The 24209-nt window shown below is 42.9% G+C and overlaps 1 protein-coding gene across 3 annotated transcripts; it reads left to right on the forward strand.

Moving 5' to 3' along the window:
• The first annotated feature begins 437 nt into the window (after positions 1-437).
• On the forward strand, positions 438-9963 carry GAGE1 (G antigen 1). 3 transcript variants are annotated; one of them, NR_102272.2, is made up of 6 exons: positions 438-552; positions 1592-1683; positions 2149-2269; positions 5093-5218; positions 6423-6565; positions 7418-9963. NR_102272.2 is itself a non-coding variant. In XM_011543896.3 (5 exons), exons 2-5 carry the CDS (start codon positions 1600-1602, stop codon positions 5515-5517), a joined length of 360 nt encoding a protein of 119 aa, XP_011542198.1. In that variant the 5' UTR covers positions 438-552; positions 1592-1599; the 3' UTR covers positions 5518-5529. The 3 variants fall into 3 exon arrangements, 2 of the variants coding, with proteins under 2 accessions (XP_011542198.1, NP_001035753.1); XM_011543896.3 differs by lacking the exons at positions 6423-6565; positions 7418-9963 and adding an exon at positions 5489-5529; NM_001040663.4 differs by lacking the exon at positions 6423-6565 and having other exon boundaries at positions 445-552.
• Positions 9964-24209: the final 14246 nt, after the last annotated feature.

Below are 24209 nucleotides of genomic sequence, written 5' to 3' on the forward strand. Positions count from 1 at the left end.
CGATTCTGATGCTACAAATGATAGATATCGTTTTAGCATTTTCTTACGGGTCCTAGCGATTCTATTCATTTTTCTTTCAGTCTCTTTCTCTGACTTGTTCACATTGAACAATTTCCTTTTGGGATAGGTTGCTATTTCTGTTTTCGCAGGTGGTTTACCTGTCTTCCCAGCCAGTCACAGTGGTCCTTGTCCCCATGGTGGGTCCGGGGCAAGAGAGGGCCCTGGGTTGGGGGTGGGGTTCAGTTGAAGATGGGGTGAGTTTTGAGGGGAGCACTACTTGAGTCCCAGAGGCATAGGAAACAGCAGAGGGAGGTGGGATTCCCTTATCCTCAATGAGGATGGGCATGGAGGGTTTGGGGCGTGGCGCTGGGAACGGCAGCCCTCCCCAGCCCACAGCCGCGCATGCTCCCTGGGCTCCCGCCTCAGTGCGCATGTTCACTGGGCGTCTTCTGCCCGGCCCCTTCGCCCACGTGAAGAACGCCAGGGAGCTGTGAGGCAGTGCTGTGTGGTTCCTGCCGTCCGGACTCTTTTTCCTCTACTGAGATTCATCTGGTAGGTGTGCAGGCCAGTCATCCCGGGGGCTGAAGTGTGAGTGAGGGTGGAGAGGGCCTCGGGTGGGTCAGGCGGGTCCCGCTTCCTGGTCTGTGGCCTCCGAGGGAGAAGGGCCACGAGGTCGTCCTCCTTCCCTTCACAGGCTGCGAGGCCACCGGCGGCTTCGTGGTCGTGAAGGGGCCTGGACGGGGAGGAAGGTGGGCCGTGGAGGGGAGGCGGTCAGGGGCTCAGGTGAAGACGGGGTGAGTGCTGTTGGGGGGATGGAAGTCCCGAGGTGCCGGGATCCCCGACGACACAGGGCAGATTCCCTGAATGGGGCCCCCGGCGGGGGCGAGGCGGGCGGTGAAGAAGGGGCCTGGCACCTGGGAAGGCTGCGGCCTGGCGAGCGCCCCCTCAGCGGTGTGGAGTGCGGAGCGCCCGAGTGAGAAGCACTGCAAGGTCTCACCTCCGCCATGGAAGGTCCGAAAACAGTGGGAAGGAGTGGGCGAGGCAGTGCGGTCCAACCAAACTTGTTGTGAGGGGGGGTGAATGGCTCTAGGAAGTGGGAGTGTGCCCAAAGCAGCAATCACGAGAATTGTGATTCACTAGGGTTTTCGTGGGGAGTGCACTTGTGAAACTAAACCTCATCAGAAATGACCTCTGTCTGCGGGGCGCAGTGGCGCTCGCCTACGTATTCCCAGTTACTGGGGACACTGAGGTGGGAGGATCCCTTGAGCGGGAGGTCGAGGCTGCAGTGAGCTGTGATCACGCCGCTGCACTCCAGCCTGAGCAACACAGCGAGACCGCGTGTCCAAAAGAAATTTAGAAAAAAATGTCCTCTGCCTTTTGCCACACGCCTTAAGATGATTGCTCTGCCAGCCTGGCCAGCAGAAGTGGCTTTGTAGGCACTCAGACAGCGTACACACGTATGCTTAACTCTGGGACTTATTTTGAGAGTATTTTCAAAAGTAAAACGGCAAGTTAACATTTATCCATGGAAGTGATCGAATATAGCAGCCCTCTGGAGCGCACGTTCCCAATCACGGTTGTCTGTTTTCAGTGTGAAATATGAGTTGGCGAGGAAGATCGACCTATTATTGGCCTAGACCAAGGCGCTATGTACAGCCTCCTGAAATGATTGGGCCTATGCGGGTGAGTGCTTAAACGTTAATTCGATGTTTTCTATTAGTAGAAATTAATTTTTGTGATAGCGTCGTTGCATTAGTGTGGAAATGCTGATAAAGGTCTTTCCTGCTCATAAAAAATGAGGATGGCATCTCATGAAGGAAACATTGATTCTGGAGGATTTTTTTTTTCCTCTCGTGTTCTTCAGCTTTTGCCCATGACTTCTTTCTCCGGCTTTGTTTGTTAATGACAGATTGTACACATGTATTCCAACACAGAGTATAATAGCCCCCAAAGTCCTCGTGCGTCACTTTTCTCACAGTAACCTCCCTGTGGGTGGAGTAACCTTATTGGGCATAGAGCATAGAGTTGGAGAAATGTCTTTAGGCTTAGTTAGGACCAGAAATAGCTATGTATTCTGTGTATATATGTAAAATTTTGTATCAATAACGAAACTTATTTTTTATTTGCACACCCACACGTATTCCCCAGCCCGAGCAGTTCAGTGATGAAGTGGAACCAGCAACACCTGAAGAAGGGGAACCAGCAACTCAACGTCAGGATCCTGCAGCTGCTCAGGAGGGAGAGGATGAGGGAGCATCTGCAGGTCAAGGTGAGGGAAAGGGAAGAAGAACGTCTGCTGGTGTGTGCGTGTGTGTGTGTTCGTGTGTGTGTGTGTGCACGTGTGTGTGTGTGTGTTAGGCATTGTCACATAGGAGGAAGAGGAGGAAAGAAAACAATGGAAAGAATGCCTGAAATTGACTGGAAAAGCGAGGAGGCTATGTAGTTCGCAGCTTAGCTTAGGCAAATCCCTCACTATGGTAAAAGATCTCGACTTTATGAATGAGAGAATGGAGGTGCCAGGATTGTGTGTTATCCAAGAACCCTTGACTGGTGAATACAACATTTGTACTGTGTTCCAAGGTTTGTGTCTTCCTATCATGTATGTTGCTGTAAAGAAGGAAGTGATTTTGCTGAAAATGCTTAAAACTCAAAAGGCTTTACTGTAAGGTAGCTTAGTACTGACCCAAGAATAGACCCAGTTCAGAGGAGCAGGAGCAGCTCCAAAAACCGAGTCGCTGAATGTTGGCCCCCGTTTCCTTTGATTGATATTTTTATATGGTACGTTTGATAAAAGCTGGATAAATGAGGATACTGCCATACAGGTAGCTGGTTTAGTGATTTTTCTCAGCGGCCTTTAGGAGGTGATTAAATCCTTTTATGGTTAGAAAAGCAAAAACGGAATTATCCTGAGATTAACGTGAGATGGAAATAATTTCTCCGAGATAAAATGTTTTGAAAGGAAGCATTTATGTAACGGAGGTCATGGATTATTCCAGGGATGCACTGTTAAAAGTTCCTAGAATCTGACTGACAACAATGCCCATTAATTGCTGTCCGCCCACTCCCTTATTCTCAGTGCGGGGGACAGTATATTTTCTGTGATTCACAAACAATGTTATATTTGGTGCTTTGTTCTTCACGGGGTTCATTTATGGAATATTACCTTTAGGACCTTCGGACCTAAATATAACTTTATTTGAACAAAGTGAAGTTTCTCTTTACCCCAATAGGTAATGGGTGTCGTGACTGTAAGATTTTCCATAGTCCTCAAATCCATCCAGCTAATCAATCCTTCAGAAACTGACATTGTAATTGTAACTGAAATCCTACCCACGTGGTAGACTTCAGATTTCTCAGCTGACGCACACTGCTGTTGGTACTCTAGGGCTGAATATAAGCATTATACATGTCCTGTGGTTTATCCTTAGATTGTCATTTAGGAGAAAGGTCTAAAGCTGGGCTGAATGCCATGCACTCATAGTCCCAGCTACTTGGGAGGCCGAGGTGAGAGGATTGCTTGAGTCCTGGAGTTCAAGCCCAGCCTGGGAAACACAGTGAGACCTCATCGCTAATAAATAAATAAATGGATAAATAAATACATAAATAAATTCATTAAATAAATAAAGTTTTCATGGTATAGGAAAACACAGATGCAAAGTTTTTGTGCCTAGTGGCTGGTAATGTTGCAAACGTAACTCCTTAGTGAACTGTACCACTTAAAAATAGTTAAGATGGTAAATTTTAGGATATCTGTATTTTGTACCACAATTGGAAATTCCTTTCTTCCTAAAGTTCAGTGCAGTTATCATATATTCTTTTAAATTTTTCCTGTATGTATCTTCAAGTCATAGCATTCATAGAAAATTTGCAAGAATAGTACAATGAACTCATATACTGTTCATCTGGATTCACCAATTGTTAGTAGCTTTCGCTTCATAGGTTTCACATCTCTTCCCTCCGTCTCTTACCGTGCTGCCCACACACTCACACACACACACACACACACATACGGATATATGTTTACTGTTATTAATGCTGAATTGTTTCGATAAAGTTTCAGGTATTATGGTCCTTTACCCTATGTACTTGAGGGTGTGTTTATCGTCAGAACAAAGAGAAAGTCATTTCTTGGATCATCACTGCACAAAGATCAAAATCAGGAAATTTAACAATGAGAAAATGGAGTCATTTAATACAGAGTGCATACTCAAATTTTGCCAGTTCCCCAGAAAATTTCTTTTTTCCTTTTTTTTTTCTTTGTTGAGACGGAGTCTCTCTCTGTGGGCCAGGTGGGAGTGCAGTAGTGCGATCTCGGCTCACTGCAACCCACACCTCCCAGGTTCTAGGGATTCTCATGCCTCAGCCTCCCGTGTAGCTGGGACTACAGGCGCCGGCCACTGCGGTCTTGAACTTCTGGCCTCACCTGCTCTGCCCACCTTGGCATCCCAAAATGTTTGGATTGCAGGCGTGAGACCCCACGCCCGGCCCAGATAATTTTATTGATAGGATTTCTTTTTCTGATCCAGAGTCCAGTTCAGAATCACACCTTGCATGTGCTTTTCAGGTGTTTTTAGTTTCCTTTAACCTGTAATGTTTCCTTAATTTTTCTTGTCATTCACGATACGGACATTTTTGGAGAGGATAGACCAGTTGGTTTGCAGAATATTCTGCAGTTTGGGCTTTTTCATGTATTTTTAAAAGAGTTTTCTCACTCAGCGTTTATTGGTGGCTACTCATGCCATGTAAGAGTCTAAGCGCTAGGAGTGTAAGTGCTGTGAGAGACGGGATTTGAGCCTTGAGTCATTTAATACGAGAAGGACAATCAGAAGTAGAATAAGAGAGAAGTGCAAAGGAGGCAGCAAAGTTGTCTGAGGGCAGTCTTCGGAAAGGAAGAGGGTAATATTTGGAACACCTTGTTTTCCTGTTTTCTGCTAACGGACTCCTGAAATAATGTTCCTGGGATTCTTATCAACACATTTATTATTACGTTAGCTAAAGCTTTTATATAATAATACCGAGAGCATGAATATCATTTTCTTATTCATATTTTATGTTTTACTGCTTAAATTGATACGTATTTTTTATTTTTAAGGGCCGAAGCCTGAAGCTGATAGCCAGGAACAGGGTCACCCACAGACTGGGTGTGAGTGTGAAGATGGTCCTGATGGGCAGGAGATGGACCCGCCAAATCCAGAGGAGGTGAAAACGCCTGAAGAAGGTAGGCAATCCATTAGGCATGCACATTGTAGGGTGTCTGTTTCCACAGTATCATATTGTAAGTCTTACTATGTTTTTGAGACGGAGTCTCGCTCTGAAGACCAGGCTGGAGTGCAGTGGTGCCATCTCGGCTCACTGGAAATTCTGTCTCCAGGGTTCAAGTGATTCTCCTGCCTGAGCCTCTGGCGGAGCCGGGGTTACAGGCGTGCTCCGCCGTGCCCAGCTAATTGTTGTATTTTTAGTAGAGACAGGGTTTCGTTATGTTGCACAGGTTGTTCCCGAACTCCTGACCTCAGGTGATCCACCTGCCTCGACCATTGAAATTGCCGGGATTACAGGCGAGAGCCACTGTGCCAGACCCAGCATTATATTTTTAGTAAGAGAGAGTTAACAATACTGCCTCTTTAGTAAAGAGTTCTTATATAAAGGTTATTTGAAATGTAGTTCAGGCCCCAGCACCCGAGTGATAGACTTTCAGATAGGGAAACAAGCTGAGTCAAAGGTATGTTGAATTAAAAGTTTTGAGTATAAATCCTCAAACCAGTAGCTCATAATTTTCAAATGCTTTTGCAAAGGTCTGCTTTTAATCAATACATAACACATTTGTAACACCCATCACTTGGTGTGAAAAATGCTGAAGCACTCATGCGGGTTCTAATATCAGCTCTTACAGCCTTGGTGAGATTCTGAGTGAGTCCTTTCACTTCTAAACCTATCTTTGGTTGTTATGAAAATAGTGAGTTTAAGTCAGAGATTTTAAAACCATTTTCCATTCCGGTTCTTTCATACTCTGATCCTGTTGCATAGAATGCGTGGGACACAGAGATCATCTGCTTCGCATGGTTTGTTAATCACAAATCATGAAACCCTGGCCCGAGTCATCTGAAAATCTCTGAATTGAGATTTCATTGTTAGTAAGAAAGTGAGGGGGCACTCTGCTTCATCCTAGTTTTTCCGTGTGGAGAGCTGAATACGTAGTGTAAGATCTTGTGAAATTGTGAATTCTCCCTCTTCTTGGTTTGTTTGTTTGTTTGCGACGGAGTCTCAGTCTGTCACCCAGGGTGGAGTGCAGTGGTGTACTTTCAGCTCACTGCAACCTCTGGCTCCCAGGCTAAAGCAGTCCTCCCACCTCAGCCTCCTGAGTGGCTGGAACTACATGCACAAGCCAACGTACCTGAGTAAAATTTTTTTTTTCATTTTTGTAGAGATGAGGTCTCACTATGTTGCCCAGACTGGGATTCTCTGGCTTTTAATGAACAATTGCTTCTTAAATCTTTCCCCACGGAAACCTTGAGTGACTGAAATATCAAATGGCAAGAGACCGTTTAGTTCCTATCATCTGTGGCATGTAAGTCAGTGATGCTCAGCATGGGTGTGAGTAAGATGCCTGTGCTATGCATGCTCCCTGCCCCACTGTCAGTCTTGATGAGCCACTATTTCTAATAAGACTGTAGACACACATATGATATAATCATCTCTAATCATATCAAATGTTACATGTAAATTTCAGCTTTAGAGACATGAATTGATAAGATTTAAAGTTGAAAGACCATGACTCTAGTCCTTCCTGAGTAATCAACTGAAGTATATTTCACACATGTGTTTTCCAAATTGCTGACTGTTAATTGTAATTGCTTGTGACTTGAAAGGAAGCACTTGATGTTTAGGGAAGAAATTACCTTTAAATTCTGGAGGGCTACTCTCAAAGTGTATTCCGAGATTCAATTGGATATACGACAGAGGATCACCTTAGCGTTCTGTTTTTAGTCCATTTAATAAAACCCAAACTGTAGTGTGCTTTGTATGCCTTTAGGGCCATCTAAATAATCTGTTGCTCAGCCGGGCGCTGTGGCTCACGCCTGTAATCCCAGCACTTTGGAGGCCAAGGCGGGTGGATCATGAGGTCAGGAATTGTATACCATCGTGGCTAACACGGTGAAACCCCGTGTCTACTAAACATACAAAAAATTAGCCCTTGTGGTGGCACGCGCCTGTGGTCCCAGCTACTCAGGAGTCTGAGGTAGGAGAATCGCTTGAACCCAGAAGGCGGACGTTGCAGTGAACCAGATTGCTCCACTGTACTCCAGCCTGGGCAACAGAGTGAGACTCCATCTAAAATAATAATAATAATAATAATAATAATAATAATAATAATAATCTGTTGCTCTGTAATGTTCCCAACTGTTTTGTTTTGTTTCAGGTGAAGGGCAATCACAGTGTTAAAAGAAGACATGCTGAAATGTTGCAGGCTGCTCCTATGTTGGAAAATTCTTCATTGAAGTTCTCCCAATAAAGCTTTACAGCCTTCTGCAAAGAAGTCTTGTGAATCTTTTGTCAATTTTATTTCTAGCTATTTGATGCTGTGAAATGTTTCATTCTTTGCAATTTTGTATTCTATCTCCTTGAGCTGTGTGTAGAGGCATAATTCTCATGTATTGATTTTCTATCCAGCAACCTTGTTAAATATGCTTATGAATTTTAAAAGTTTACTTCTAGGTTTTTTCAGTTTTCAACCTACAGAATCATATCATTTTTGAATAAGAACAATTTTGTTTCTGCCTTTTTTGTTTGTTTTTTCTTTTGTATTTTTCGTAGAGGTGGGATTTTGGCCTGTGTCCTAGGCTTTTTTTGAACTCCTGAGCGCAAGTAATCCACTCTCCTTGGCCTTTCAAAGTGTTGGGATTACAGGCATGGGCCACCGTGCTGGTCCTGTTTTTGCCATTTTAAACCCTTTTATTTCCTTTTCTGATTTTATGGCATTGAGCAGATCTACCGGATACAATTGTGATAGTGGAAATTTTTGTGTTATTCCTGATGAGAAATGGAAAAATTTCAACATTTCACGACAATATTTAGTGTACTTTTTTTGTAGATGGACTTTTTCAGAGTAAGTCAAGCCATTCTGTTTTAGTTTGTTGAGAGTGTTCATTTTGAATATATGTTGAATTTCATCAAACACTGACCTGAGTCATCTTAAAACATGTGAATTGAGATTTCTTTGCTACTAAGAAAGTGAGCGGGCACTCTGCTTCATGTTTACTTTTGTCATGTTGCATGAAAAACATTTTGCTTCATGTTTGATTCTGTATGTTGAAAACTGAAATCATCTATTGTGATTACCACAGGGTTTTTTCCCCCAGTAATCTGTTTATGTAGTCAATTACGTTGATAAATCTGTACTTTTTAAATTTTAACAATTGAGACAGGTCTCACTCTGTCACCCATGCTGACTGCAGTAGTGTGATCACAGCTTACTGCAACCTCAACCTCCTGGGCTCAGGCGATCCTCCCACCTCACCCTCCTCAGTAGCTAGGACTATAGGTACATGCCACCATGCCAAGCTAATTTTTCTGTTTTAGAGATGGTATTTTTTCATGTTGCCCAGGCTGGTTTTATACTCCTAATCTCAAGCCATCCACTAGCCTCAGCCTCCCAAAGTGCTGGGATTACAGGAATGAGTCACGGTGCCTGGAAATTTTGTACATTTAAACCAACAATTTGGTCATGGGTAATCTATGTCCTAATAATTTATTTAAGGATTTTTATGTATATCCTCATGAGTGACATTACCTGTACTTTTATTTCATATGCTCATTTGTTGGACGTTGTTATCAAGGTTCCTCTAGCTTCATAAAACGGGTTGGTATGTAAAACCTCTTTTTCCATTCACTGGAACTCAAGTCTCCTCAAGGCTGTGAGTAATGCAGGGCTAGGCTTTCCCATAATGAGCTTTTCTAGAATGCTTCTCTCAGATTTGGACCCTACTTAAACAGCAGTGACCAAACGGGCAGCTCCAGGTACCTATCCCCTCAAACTTTGTGAGGGTCGCGTTCTCTGAAGATGCCTCTTCAATTTGAAAGCTATCTGTTCCTGTTTCTCTGCTGATATTAACTCTCTGTGCACAGAAAGTTAAACGTCACTGGTTATTAATTTCCCTAGATTTTGATCTGTGCTGTGTGGCTGAGAATGGGCTGACTGACCCTAGATCTGTGTATAATTATGACAATGGCTCCATTTATTTTTAAAATAAGAGGAATTATTATAAAATTCCTATTTACTGGATGTGTACTATCTATGAATTACTTCTTTGTGCTAGGTTGTGTACATGTATGACCTCTTTAGATCCTCACAAGATAAGGCAGAATTTTCATGAAATTGATGACTGACTCCAGTAAGAAGCAGATTTGGGGGGATTTCAATTTCTAAGCTCAAAGCCCTTGCACTTTTCTCAAAGTAAAGCTTTTGAAAGTGTTAAATGTACACGAACTGATGGTGTATATGATGATTTTAGTTGTAATCTGATGTTTTCTTTAAAAATTTACATATACAAAAGTGTTTGACTCAAAAGGCTTTGTTCTTCCCTTAAAGGAAGCATCTACCAAAATGTGGCACACAAACCTTGCATGGTGTCTCTAGGGCCTCCTACCCCGCATTTCCCCTGCTTTTTCTCTTGTTCTGACTGAAAAACAAAGTGCTTTGACTGTGCTGTGACCCAGCCAGCTGCATGTTTACCCAGCATGCTTGAACCCAAGCTGGAGCCTTGAACATAAAGGTGTTTAAGTTGTTGCTCAAAATATGGAAAGAATCTAGCTCTGGCCTTGAACCAAATCCCTTAAACTCTCCTATAAAACTCCATAACCTGACCCCCTCAGTGCGGATATACCTAGGCATGACATTCTTGTTGCCTGTTGCGAGGATGCTTTAGCCTACTCTAAGTTCTCCCAATAAATGCTTTGGACTGATCACCCTGGTGTTTAATGTTCCTTGGAAATCTTGACAGGCCCAATCTCTAGTCGGTCTGGGGCACTACCTTGTGGGAACTCTCCTACTTCTGCTTCCTGCTCCGGCCGTGGATTTGGCTGGATGAAATCATTAATACAAAAACAAACATTTAAAAACGTTTTTTCATGATAATGTGCTTATTATGTTACAGAAAATATAACACTAAAGCCATTTGCAACAGTTTGTGGGGAGAAAGTTAAGAACGTGTGTCACAAATCGCATGGCAAAGTGCCACAACATCTCCTACAAACACATCTGTCCTTTGAAGTTACTCACAGGTGGGGAGGGAGCAGCCACAAATCTCTTTTTTTCTTCCACAAAATCCTCTGTTGGCTTGATAGTCAAGAGATCTCACTCAGAAGCCCCTCCTTGCTGCCCGATTCCAGACTTCTACCGCTATTACTATACACAAAGACAGGTTACACCTCTGAGGTCTTGTTTGCATCTTCACAGCACCCCCCACCCCAAGAAAACAGTTCTGCCAAAAAAAAAATCCTATTCAGAATCCACCCTGCTTAGGGAATGACAAGGGATTATAAACAACAGTGATTTCTCCCTCTTGCAGATGCTTAAAAATATTTCCTGATCCAAGAGGACTGAAAATCTATGATTCAAGTAAAGAGTGAGGCTAAATGCAGGGTATCTCAATTTACCCCAAATACATGAGGGGTCCCTTGGTTGTGGAGGTGGCAGAAAGGATTAGAACCTATATAGAAGAAAAGGGAAAGCAACCAGGAAAATTTGCTTAGACAAAATTACTTGGGTCCTACTTACACTGTCTCCTTAATAGGCAGTGGCATGAAATAGCCATGGGTTTCCATCCTGGCTCTGACACACTGACTTTGCAATGGTGAAATGGTGGGAAAGGTTCTTACATTCTTTGGGCCTGTTTCCCCATTTCTAAAGTACGAATTAAAATATTTACGCTAAATGATTGCTATGAAGAATGAGATGCCAATACATATGGTGTTTCCCACGAGGGATATGTTCGGTGGGGCAGACAGACACATAAACAGAAGAGCAGTTGGGGTGCACACATACACACACACCCCGAAAGTGAATGGGGTAGCTAAGAAGCAAGAGAAAAACAAGGAGAAAAGCCTTGTGAGAGTGAAAGAGATCTACTGGACTTCTCATATCCACTGATCACTGGGTTCATCTACTTGATTCTGTTGATATAAGGCTGAATGACGGCAGGGCATGGAGGCTCACACCTGTAATCCTAGCAATTTGGGAGGCTGAGCAGGAGGATTGTTTGAGCCCAGGAGTTCAAGACCAGCCTGGGCAACAGAGCGAGACCCTGTTTTTTTTTTTTTTTTTGAGACAGAGTCTCGCTCTGTTGCCCAGGCTGGAGTGCAGTGGCACAATATTGGCTCACTGCAAACTTTGCCTCCCAGGCTCAAGTGATTTTCCCACCTCAGCCTCCCAGGTAGCTGGGATTACAGGTGCACGCCACCACACCTGACTAATTTTTGTATTTTTAATAGAGATGAGGTTTCACAATGTTGGCCAGGCTGGTCTCGAACTCCTGACCTCAAGTGTTCTGCCCACCTTGGCCTCTCAAAGTACTCGGATTACAGGCGTGAGCCACCACGCCTGGCCTCTTTATTTTTTGAAGGCTGAGTGACATCTGTGCCTCACACTTGAAAACTAAAATAACCAGAATGGCAGTATTGTGCTTATTCAAAAAGTATTTATTGAGGGCTGTTTCTTTATCAGCTCCTTTATATATGAGAAGACATCAGCAAATTAGCCAATGTAGCCCCTAACTGAGAAATGATCTAAGAAAGTAGCAGTGTCCCAGATTCATTATAAATGTAAAAGTGTTTAATATTTATAAAATATTATATATTCACTATAAATACAAAAGTATAAAAGGTAATACATTGGTACTAGATGCTTCTGGGCAAAGTGCGTGGTGAAGGGCACAAGCCCTCTGTGACAGATCCCCAAGACAACCTTCAGCTTGATGATCTTCCAGACGCACAGGATTCAGAAGTTGTTATACTCACAGTTATAATCTATTAAAGTGAAAGGATACAGATTAGAATCAGCAAAGGTAAAAGGCACATGGGGTGAAATCCAGGAGAGACCAGGGGCAAGATTTTAGGTGTTTTTTCCCAGTAGAGTGATACAGGGACACGTTTATATACTGTCCCAGTAACGATGTGTGACAACGCGTGAAGTATTATCAACCAGGGAAGCTCACCTGACCTTGGTGTTCAGGGTTTTTATTGGGAGTCACGTAGGCATGCAAAACTTGTGTAACTGACCTCAGCTACTCAGACTCTAGCCTTCCTGAGCAAAAACAAACATTCACCATAAATCACATTGTTAAACAAACTTATTGGATCCCACTGTTAACAGTGTGGCCCAAAGACTCAGGCATAAAAAACACTCTTATCAGGCAGTCCTGCTGAGTTAATCCTTTCCTGCACAAACTCCTCTAAGAGAACAGAAGTTTGCAAAGAGAGATTTCCTGTGATGTCTCATCTGCAATGTATTATTTCCAGTAAGCAAATTACTAGTTTAATAATGGCTACACTTAAGTAAGCAAGGAGCATGTCATCATCTCTCTCTCTCCCAACAATAACAACAGCAGCAACAACGAAACAATGCAAAAACCAACAACAAAAACTTGTCTGAGAATCAGCTGCTGGGAATCAGGCTCTGTGCCCTGGGCTAGAAAGACTGAGGATCGAGAAATGATTCATGCAGGATAAGAGTTATCACAGAGCTCAGAGTCTACTCCCAGGGGATGATGTGTGTTCTAAGTACTGCTGCACTGTAAATAACTTTTTATTTATTTATTATTTAGTAATAAATATTATTTATTTATTACTTATTAATAAATAAATAAATTTATTTTTACTGTCACCCAGGCTGGAGTGCAATGGCATGATCTTGGCTCATTGAAACCTCCATCTCCCAGGTTCAAACGTTTCTTCTGCCTCAGCCTTCCGAGTAGCTGGGATTACAGGCGCCCATCACCTTGCCCGGCTAGTTTTTGTATTTTTAATAGATGGGGTTTCACCATGCTGGCCAGGCTGGTCTCCAACTTTTGACCTCAAGCGATCAACCTGCCTTGGCCTCCCAAAGTGCTAGGATTACAGACGTGAGCCACTGCGCCCGGCCAGTAAATAACTTTTATTTTATTTTATTTTATTTTATTTTATTTTATTTTATTTTATTTTATTTATTTTTTGACAAGAGTCTCACTTCTTGTCACCCAGGCTGGAGTGCAGAGGCATGATCTCGGCTCATTGCAACCCCCGTCTCCCAGGTTCAAGTGATTCTCCTGCCTCAGCCTTCCGAGTAGCTGGAATTACAGGCGCCTGCCACCACGCCTGGCTAATTTTTGTATTTTTAGTAGAGATGGGGTTTTGCCATGTTGACCAGGCTGGTCTTGAAGTCCTGACCTCAGGTGATCCGCCCGCCTCAGCCTCCCAAAGTGCTGGGATTACAGGCATGAGCCACTGTGCCAGGCCGGTAAATAACTTTTAATCTCTGTTCATTATCCCCCTTTTCATTAAAAAAATAAAAATCTCACTGCTCAATTATTCTCATGTTATAGATGAGGTAACGAGATCAGAGAAGATAAGTATCTCATTCATGGTCAAGTCAGTAGTCCCTGGTGCAGCCAGTTTTCAACCTAGGACTCTTGGAACACCCATGTACTTTTCATTATAAGCATTTTTTGTGCTCTTAATATCGTCTTCTGTTTTAATTCACATTCGCCATAAATACAGTTCCTTGCTCAGCTTGCCCCCAGAGTCCCTTTTTATTTTACAGCTTTATTGCTAAAGTGCCAACATGTTTTTCAGAGGCTGAGACATTTTGCACTCTTACTAGCAGTGTATGAGGGCTGCATTTGCTCTACATCTCCATGAACACTTGATACTACCAGTTTTTTACATTTTAGCCATTCTAATAGGTGTGTAGTCATACCTCCTTGCAGTTTTAATTTGCATTTCAACACGTTGAACATATTTTATTTTTTTCTCTCTCTCTCTTTTTTCTCTCTCTTTCTCTCTCTCTTCTTTCTCTTTTCTTTTCTTTTTCTTTCTTTCTTTCCTTGAGTCTTGCTCTATTACCCAGGTTGGAGTGCAGCGGCATGATCTCAGCTCACTGCAACCTCTGCCTTCTGGGCTCAAGTGATTCTCCCTGCCTCAGCCTCCCAAGTAGCTGGGACCACAGGCGTGTGTCACCATGCCCCCGCTAATTTTTGTATTTTTAGCAGACACAGGGTTTTGCTGTTTTGGCCAGGCTGGTCTCAGACTCCTGAGCTCAAGCGATCTGCCAGCCTCAGCCTCCCAAAGTGTTGGGATTACAGGTGTGAGCCACCGCACCCAGCCAGGGAATTTTCTTTGCCAGGGAATTTTCTTTTCTATTCTTCTTCTTCTTCTTTTTTTTTTTTTTTTTTCTGACAGAGTCTCGTTCTGTCGTCCAGGCTGGAGTGCAGTGGCACCATCTTGGCTCACTGCAACCACTGCCTCCGGGTTCAAGCAATTCTCCTGCCTCAGCCTCCCGAGTACCTGGGATTACGGGTGTGCACCACCATGCCTGGCTAATTTTTGTATTTTTTTAGTAGAGACGGGGTTTCACCATGTTGGCCAGGCTGGTCTTGAACTCCTAACCTCATGTGATCTGCTGGCCTCAGCCTTCCAAAGTGCTGGGATTACAGGAAATTTTCTTAATCTAATTCTAGACCATTTTTATTAAGACTTTATTTTTATATTGTTTCACTCCTTTTGCCTATTTATTCAACTTTCTGGAAGGTTTGCTTACCTGGCTTTTTCAAGTCTTCCCATTGAATGCTTTTTATTAACTACCTGATTTCCAGGAAATTTTTAGAAATCTACTTTTGTTTCACCTTTGTAAAAAGCAAGACCGGGCACGGTGGCTCATGCCTGTAATCCCAGCACTTTGGGAGGCTGAGGTGGGCAGATCACTTGAGGTCAGGAGTTAGAGACCAGCCTGGTCAACATGGCGAAACCCTGTCTCTACTAAAAATACAAAAAAAAATTAGCCAGGTGTGGTGGTGGGCACCCATAATCCCAGCTATTTGGGAGGCTGAGCCAAGAGAATCGTTTGAACCCAGGATGTGGAGGCTGCAGTGAGTTGAGATGGTCCCACTGCGCTCCAGCCTGGGTGACAGAGTGAGAGTCTGACTCACTCTCTCTCTCTCTATATATATATATAATATATATATAATTATATATAATACAATATATTATATTAAATAATATAAATAAAATAAAATAAGAAGCAAAAATAATTCTACTTTTTCTGACTTAATGGATGCCTAAAACATAGACGTACAGCTTACCCAATTAAACTCTCCTTGTTGAGTTCTGATACCAGTATCATGGCAACTTCCTACAAAATAATGGAAAGTCATTCTTTCCCTCCCCAGTGGAAGGGTTCACATAGCCCTGGAGTTGTATGGTGCCCATAGACTTTCATGCCCTGACATTCCTCAGCCTTGACAACAACCTAAATGTTTTTATTTTGTTTTGTTTTTGAAAAGGATAAACGATGGCCTGTGGAGACAGGGATTTTTTAGTTGTATCAACATGGGAGTGCTTTCATTGAGCTAATCTCAGTTTAGGGCAAACTGAAAGTCAGGGAAACTGGCTGATGCCTGTTTTTCTCCCTGTTGCTCAATGATTGTCTTTGATTCAGAAATTTGAGTGTGGAGGCACTTGAAGGGAAGATGGAAATTGTGGGCAATGATGAAAGGTGGGAAGATTTTTTTTTTTTCTTACAGAAAAAGATAGACCCATGAAGTTTGGTTTATTTAGATTCCAGTCTACCCATTAAAGGTGTCTGGAATTGTCTTCTTATTGTTCAGGCTTTGGATCACAGACCTCTGTCAGGAACTGTGTGGCTGCATCAGAAGCCATGCAGAAGACAGGTTCTAGCCCCCATCAGCCAGGGCACCTGGCAGAGGAAATATTAACCTAGGCTACTGGGATTATTGTCCCAGGTAAGGTACATAGTTATTATACACAAACTGGTCTATGTCACAGGGAATGAAGGCCTCAGGAGGACCACAACCCTACCCCACCCCTAGACTTGTCTATTGGGTGTCATGACACTGAGACATCCACGATGAATTCCGAAGAGAGGTACCAGCTCCACCAGGCTGCTCAGGCCAAGAGTCTCAGGTCAATGAGGGCTACAGGCATCTGAAATTCCAGAACTCGCAGGATGAGTGTTTGCAGAAGTTGTGGCACCTCCTCCTCCTTCACCAAAACTGTCTGCTTTGGTATACTGGTAACAGCCATTGATTAGTTTTAAAAGTTTATTTATTTTAAAATTGTAATAAAATACATATAACATAAAATTTACCATCATGGCTTTTTCTTTTCCTTTTTTTTTTTTTTTTTTTGAGAGATTGTCTTGCCCTTTTGCCCAGGCTAGAGTGTAGTGGCACAATCATAGCTCACTGCAGCCTTAAACTCCTAGGCTCAAGTGATCCTCCCGTCTCAGCCTCTTAAGTAGCTGGGACTACAGGCATGAGCTGCCATGCCCAGATAAGTTAAAAATTGTTTTTTAGAGATGGGGTCTTTCTATGTTCCCCAGGCTGGTCTTGAATTCCTGGCCTCAAGCAATCTTCCTGCCTCAGCCTCCCAAATCCCTGAGATTACAGGTGTGAGTCACCAAGCTCAGCCCATTTTAGGCATTTTAAAGTGTACAGTTCAGTAGCATTAAGCACATTTACATCATCTATCATTTTCAAGAACTTTTTCACCTTGCAAAGCTGAAACTGTACTTATTAAACCATGACTTTCTATTTACCCTTCTGTCTCCCTCTTTCACTCCTGATATTGGTTTTATGTCTTCTCTTTGTTTTTTGTTTTTTTGTATTTTTGGTCAGTCTGGCTAGTTAGATCAATTTTATTAATCTTTCCAGGGAACTAGCTTTTGGTTTCATTGATTTTTTTTCTATTGTTATTCATTTTCAATTGTCTTGATTTCTTCTCTTATCTTTATTATGTTCTTCCATCAGCTTGCTTTAGGTTTATTTGTCTTTTTCTCATTTTGTAAGGTGGAAGCTTAGATGTGAGCCTTTTGTTTCTATTTTTTCTTCCTATTGTCCAAACCCAAGCTTTCATTTCTAACGTAAGCATTTCATGCTATAATTTTTCCTCTAAGCACTGCTTTATGTCACAAATTTTGATGTGTTGTGTTTTTGGTGTCATTTAATTCAAACTATTTTCTAAACTGCTTTGCGACTTATTATTTGGTTATAAATAGGTTATTTATAAGTATGTTCAATTTCCAAATATTTGGAGATTTTCTAGATATTTTTGTCATTGATTTCTAGTTTAGTTTCATTATAGTTAGAAAACATCCTGTGCATTATTTCAGCTCTTTTAAATGTGTTTAGATTTTTGTTATGACCTAGATAATCCAAGATTATCTCCCCATGTCAAGATGCTTAACTTAATCACATCTGCGAAGTTCCTTTGCCGTGTAAGATAATATATTCACAGATCCTGGAAATTAGGATATGGGCATCTTTGGGGGCCATATTCTTCATACCACACCCCGTTTCCCTCCCTAAGCGTTTGTAGTGACTGTCACTGTCCCCACATTGGACCACAGAGGTGGACACGGATGGGGCCTAGCTCTGTCAATACAAGGAGAAAAATACAGCAGTGGTTGACAGCCACTAGGAATAATAATAATGACAATGTTGATAATAACAGCTACCATTTACCCCAGGTTTGGCATGTGCCATCGCTTTGCAGGGATCATAGGTGCCACCATTCCTATTCTACAACGAGAAATCTGAGGTCCAGGGAGGCTCTATGATTTGCCTGGTGTCACACAGATGGCAGGCAGCAGAAGAGCCAGGGTTAGTGCTCAGACTTTCTCTGCAGCCTGTGCCCCTAAGCCCTACCTCAAGTCATTACCCCTGAGGAGTTGGAGGGAGGCCTCCTCAGAGTGGATCATTTATGGAGCTAGACCTGTAGGATGGATTTTAGGAATTCGCTAGTGGCCAAATAGCTATCACTTCTGGACCTGCAAAGAGGCTGTTTGACTTCACCTTTCTCTCTCTCTCTGTCTCTCTCCCCCTTCCTCCTTCTCTCTCTCTCTCTCTCTGACACACACACACACACACACACACATACACACCACACACACACACACACACCATGGTGTCTTATATTCATGGTTTAACTTCTATTGCTCAGGGTTACTTATGAGTGGGGTGGGAATCATGACCCATAACACACACGGCAGCCTGCCCTACACAAAACTCTGCAGCTAGTGTAGAAACACCCACAGCCCTGTCTCCCATTAAAGTGGCCTCTGTTGTTGAAGGTCAGCAGGAGGCAGTCTAGGGGAGTTAGTTTCCTGTGGGCATCTTGGGAATGGGTGAGCAGCAGACTGTGAATGGTGCAGGTGTCTGGACCAGGACTTCTGGGACACCTCACTATATCTTTCCCCAAATCCCTATGCCTGCTGGCTACTGGGGCCTGTCACAACATCCCTGTTAAGGCAGAACTGGAAATGTCTCCCAGATCCAGATGAAACTTCAGATCCAGACTGAGAGTCCAGGGCAATTTACCTAGGGCTGGAAGAGGTGGGGTGATATTCCTGAAGGAGGCACTGGGGTGAGTGTCACCTCAGGAGATGGGAGGACACTGCAGAGCTGGGTCTGTGAGGACAGAGAAGGGACCCTGGGAGGGACAGGAGCAGCGTGAGCATAGGGAGTGCCCCAACTGCGGTCATCCTGGCATTGGCATCTGGCCCCAGCTCTGCCCCACCCTAGCTGGAGGGCCTGAGCCAGGGACCTGCCTTCTCAGTGCCTCAGTGTCCTCATCTGTGACAGAGGTGACAGGGTTTTCTTCCAAGGGTCCTAGTGGGAATTAAATGAGATAGCACATAAGAAGGGCTTAGGATACTGCAAGTCAGATCTGTGATTACCTAAAACAAAGTTCTTTAAATTTAAGATTGATACTTTCTTGTTACGGCTCAAGGAAAAAATAAATTAATTAATTAAAAAATAAATTTAAGATTGAAAGCTTCATGACACTTTTACCATATTTCATCAAATCTCAGATGCTATAGATTGTGTGTCACACTCTTATTGTAAGTAACCCTAAGAAAGAAAGAATGCTACTAATTGAACTCTGACCTGTTGCCTTCTCAACTCAGTGACTGTATGATGCATTCCTGATTTCAGATACATTAAAATATTTTAAGGCTGAGTGCACTGGCTCACACTGGTAAACGCAGCACTTTGGGAGGCCAAGGCAGGATGATCACTTGAGCCCAGGAGTTCCAGACCAGCCTGGGCAACATAGAGAGACCCCATATCTACAAAAAAGTAAAAAATTAGCCAGGCATGGTGGTGCATGCCTGTAGCCTTTGCTACTTGGGAGGATGAGGTGGGAGGATCATTTGAGCTCAGGAGTTTGACATGCAGCGAGCTATAATCATGGCACTGCACTCCAGCCTGGGTGATAGAGTGAGACCCTATCTTAAAATATATATATTTATGTATAATATAAAAATATATTTTAAAGTACATTTTAGAATTGATAAAATAGGACATTTTTCATTATTTAATTTTACAGTTACCTTCTGTGGCAATTGTTTCTAATTTTGTATAGTGATAGAATCTTTTCAAAACATTTCGTTTAAGAACAAAAGCGATTTGACCTTGGGGAAACTTTGAGATGGCTCTACTAGTCTGAAAGGGATTGTGACAGGGCAGTCCCCTCAGGTGGGAAGTGAGTGACTGGAGTTCAGGAACCACTGCTGAAGTCATGCCTCAGGGCATGCCTGGCCCCTCAGCCTCTCCCAGCTGCCCAGAAGGACCTTCCTGGGGGCAGATACACAATCACACCCCATGGTGCCCACTTTGAGGATGGATGCCCAGGTTGGGATGGAAGGAGGAGGAGTTAATCCACTGATTCAGCATCTGTCCAAGGATGCCCACACAACATCAGGTGCATCCTGACTGCTGGAAACCCGGCAGTCACACAAGCATCACACAAATCCTCAGGTGTCACAGTCTGGTGAGGGAGGCTGACACACACAAACACAACAAAAATAAAAAGAAAAGGAAAAGCATAGCAGTAGGTAGTTATGAGGATGGAACTCTGGATCCAGATGGACTAGGTTCAAATCCTGGTTCCATGATTTCCCAGCTGTGTGATCTCTGGCAGGTTACTTAACCTCTCTGTTTCTCAGGTGCCTCATTTGTAAAATGGAGGAAAAAAATTATTTATTTCATTCGGTTATTGTGAGGACTATTAGGTGAGTTAATATTTGTGAAGAACTTAGAATGGGTCCTGACATAACATTAAATATTCAATATGTGCTTGCTAATGAAAACACTTTAAAGCATCGAATTAGAAGTGCAGCCCATGAGGCCGGGCACAGTGGCTCATGCTTGTAATCTCAGCACTTTGGGAGGGCAAGGCTTGCAGATCATCTGAGGTCAGGAGTTCGAGACCAGCCTGGCCAACATGGTGAAACCCCCATCTCTACTAAAAATACAAAAATTAGTGGGACGTGATGGCGCACACCTGTAATCCCAGCTACTCAGGAGGCTGAGGCAGGAGAATCACTTGAACCTACGAGTCAGAGGTTGCAGTGAGCTGACATCAGGCCATTACACCAGCCTGGGCAACAGAGAGAGACTCTGTCTGAAAAAAAAAAAAAAAAAGAAATGCAGCCCACGGAAGATCAAGAAGGGAAATGGGAAGAGAACATAATGTAAAGTGGGGATGCTAAAAGCACTACCCTCCAAGGTTTGCTGTGCTTATTTCATTACGTCTTTCTTAACGTGTAGTCATAGTGTTAAGTCTCCATCCCTTAGCAGGAGCCCTGTCCCCCTCCTCCATTCTGGATGCCACTTTTGTTATTGCAGCTCCAGGCTCCGAGATTTCCCTGTGACTCCCAACTGAACTGGTTGGCGCTTTCCGAACTGATATGGAGCCCCCTTTCCTTGCCTGAAGTCCAGTTGGGCTTCAGGACTTTACACCGGGCTCCCTGGAGGAGGTCTGTCTCCTCCCCACTGTTAGGATCTGGGGATTCTTGTCCTCTCATTGTCAGTCTGAATGAGTCTCATTGTATCTTCATTCAAGTCATAAAGGTTAAGGTCAGCCAATGGTATTTGTCAGTGAGTGAATGAAGACTGACCAAATGAAGCAAAAAGAGATGGCTTACCATCTCCCAAGCTCCTGAGTCAGCCCTCCCCAAGCCCACCCATCTGAGACAGCCTATGGAGTGGTGTGGGGCCAGACCTCAGGTTAACAAAGCTCTGTCTTCCCCTCCCTCTGTTGGGATGAGGCACTAGGCTGTTGGGATTGGACACACACACACACACACACACACACACACACGCACACACACACCCATCCACTTTTCCCTGCTTACAGTGTTGTCCTGTAAAAGGCATTCTCCCTGCCCCCTGTCCCCCGCAGGCACACACAGGTCCTATCTATTCTTTTTTTTAAATTTTATTATTATTATACTTTAAGATTTATGGTACATGTGCACAACGTGCAGGTTTGTTACATAGGTATACATGTGCCATGTTGGTGTGCTGCACCCAGTAACTTGCCATTTAGCATTAGGTATATCTCCTAATGCTATACCTCCCCGCTCCCTCCACCCCACAACAGTCCCCAGTGTGTGATGTTCCCCTTCCTGTGTCCATGTGTTCTCATTGTTCAATTCCCACCTATGAGTGAGAACATGCGGTATTTGGTTTTTTGTCCTTGCGATAGTTTGCTGAGAATGATGGTTTCCAGCTTCATCCATGTCCCTACAAAGGACATGAACTTATCCTTTTTTATGGCTGCATAGTATTCCATGGTGTATATGTGCCACATTTTCTTGATCCAGTCTATCATTGTTGGACATTTGGGTTGGTTCCAAGTCTTTGCTATCGTTAATAATGCCGCAATAAACATACATGTGCATGTGTCTTTATAGCAGCATGATTTATAGTCCTTTGGGTATATACCCAGTAATGGGATGACTGGGTCAAATAGTATTTCTAGTTCTAGACCCCTGAGGAATCGCCACACCGACTTCCACAATGGTTGAACTAGTTTCCAGTCCCACCAACAGTGTAAAAGTGTTCCTATTTCTCCACATCCTCTCCAGCACCTGTTGTTTCCTGGCTTTTTAATGACCGCCATTCTAACTGGTGTGAGATGGTATCTCATTGTGGTTTTGATTTGCATTTCTCTGATGGCCAGTGATAATGAGCATTTTTTCATGCGTTTTTTGGCTGCATAAATGTCTTCTTTTGAGAAGTGTCTGTTCATATCCTTCACCCACTTTTTGATGGGGTTGTTTGTTTTTCCTTGTAAATTTGTTTGAGTTCATTGTAGATTCTGGATATTAGCCCTTTGTCAGATGAGTAGATTGCAAAAATTTTCTCCCATTCTGTAGGTTGCCGGTTCACTCTGATGGTGGTTTCTTTTGCTGTGCAGAAGCTCTTTAGTTTAATTAGATCCCATTTGTCAATTTTGGCTTTTGTTGCCATTGCTTTTGGTGTTTTAGACATGAAGTCCTTGCCCATGCCTATGTCCTGAATGGTATTGCCTAGGTTTTCTTCTAGGGTTTTTATGGTTTTAGGTCTAACATGTAAGTCTTTAATCCATCTTGAATTAATTTTTGTATAAGGTGTAAGGAAGGGATCCAGTTTCAGCTTTCTACATATGGCTAGCCAGTTTTCCCAGCACCATTTATTAAATAGGGAATCATTTCCCTATTGCTTGTTTTTGTCAGGGTTGTCAAAGACCAGATAGTTGTAGATATGTGGCATTATTTCTGAGGGCTCTGTTCTGTTCCATTGGTCTATATCTTTGTTTTGGTACCAGTACCATGCTGTTTTGGTTACTGTAGCCTTGTAGTATAGTTTGAAGTCAGGTAGCATGATGCCTCCAGCTTTGTTCTTTAGGCTTAGGATTGACTTGGCCATGAGGGCTCTTTTTTGGTTCCATATGAACTTTAAAGTATTTTTTCCAATTCTGTGAAGAAAGTCATTGGTAGCTTGATGGGGATGGCATTGAATCTACAAATTACCTTGGGCAGTATGGCCATTTTCACGATATTGATTCTTCCTACCCATGAACATGGAATGTACTTCCATTTGTTTGTATCCTCTTTTATTTCATTGAGCAGTGGTTTGTAGTTCTCCTTGAAGAGGTCCTTCACATCCCTTGTAAGTTGGATTCCTAGGTATTTTATTCTCTTTGAAGCAATTGTGAATGGGAGTTCACTCATGATTTGGCTCTCTGTTTGTCTGTTATTGGTGTATAAGAATATTTGTGATTTTTGCACATTGATTTTGTATCCTGAGACTTTGCTGAAGTTGCTTATCAGCTTAAGGAGATTTTGGGCTGAGACGATGGGGTTTTCTAGATATACAATCATGTCATCTGCAAACAGGGTCAATTTGACTTCCTCTTTTCCTAATCAAATGCCCTTTATTTCCTTCTCCTGCCTGATTGCCCTGGCCAGAACTTCCAACACTATGTTGGATAGGAGTGGTGAGAGAGGGCATCCCTGTCTTGTGCCAGTTTTCAAAGGGAATGCTTCCAGTTTTTGTCCATTCAGTATGATATTGGCTGTGGGTTTGTCATAGATAGCTCTTATTATTTTGAGATACGTCCCATCAATACCTAATTTATTGAGAGTTTTTAGCATGAAGGGCTATTGAATTTTGTCAAAGGCCTTTTCTGCATCTATTGAGATAATCATGTGGTTTTTGTCTTTGGTTCTGTTTATATGCTGGATTACATTGATTGATTTTCATATGTTGAACCAGCCTTGCATCCCAGGGATGAAGCCGACTTGATCATGGTGGATAAGCTTTTTGATGTGTTGCTGGATTCGGTTTGCCAGTATTTTATTGACGATTTTTGTGTCAATGTTCATCAGGGATATTGGTCTAAAATTCTCTTTTTTTGTTGTGTCTCTGCCAGGCTTTGGTATCAGGGTGATGCTGGCCTCATAAAATGAGTTAGGGAGGATTCCCTCTTTTTCTATTGATTGGAATAGTTTCAGAAGGAATGGTACCAGCTCCTGCTTGTACCTCTGGTAGAATTCGGCTGTGAATCCATCTGGTCCTGGACTTTTTTTGGTTGGTAAGCTCTTAATTATTGCCTCAATTTCAGAGCCTGTTATTGGTCTATTCAGAGATTCAACTTCTTCCTGGTTTAGT

Source organism: Homo sapiens, chromosome X, assembly GCF_000001405.40.
Source record: "Homo sapiens chromosome X, GRCh38.p14 Primary Assembly".
Lineage (NCBI taxonomy): Eukaryota > Metazoa > Chordata > Mammalia > Primates > Hominidae > Homo > Homo sapiens.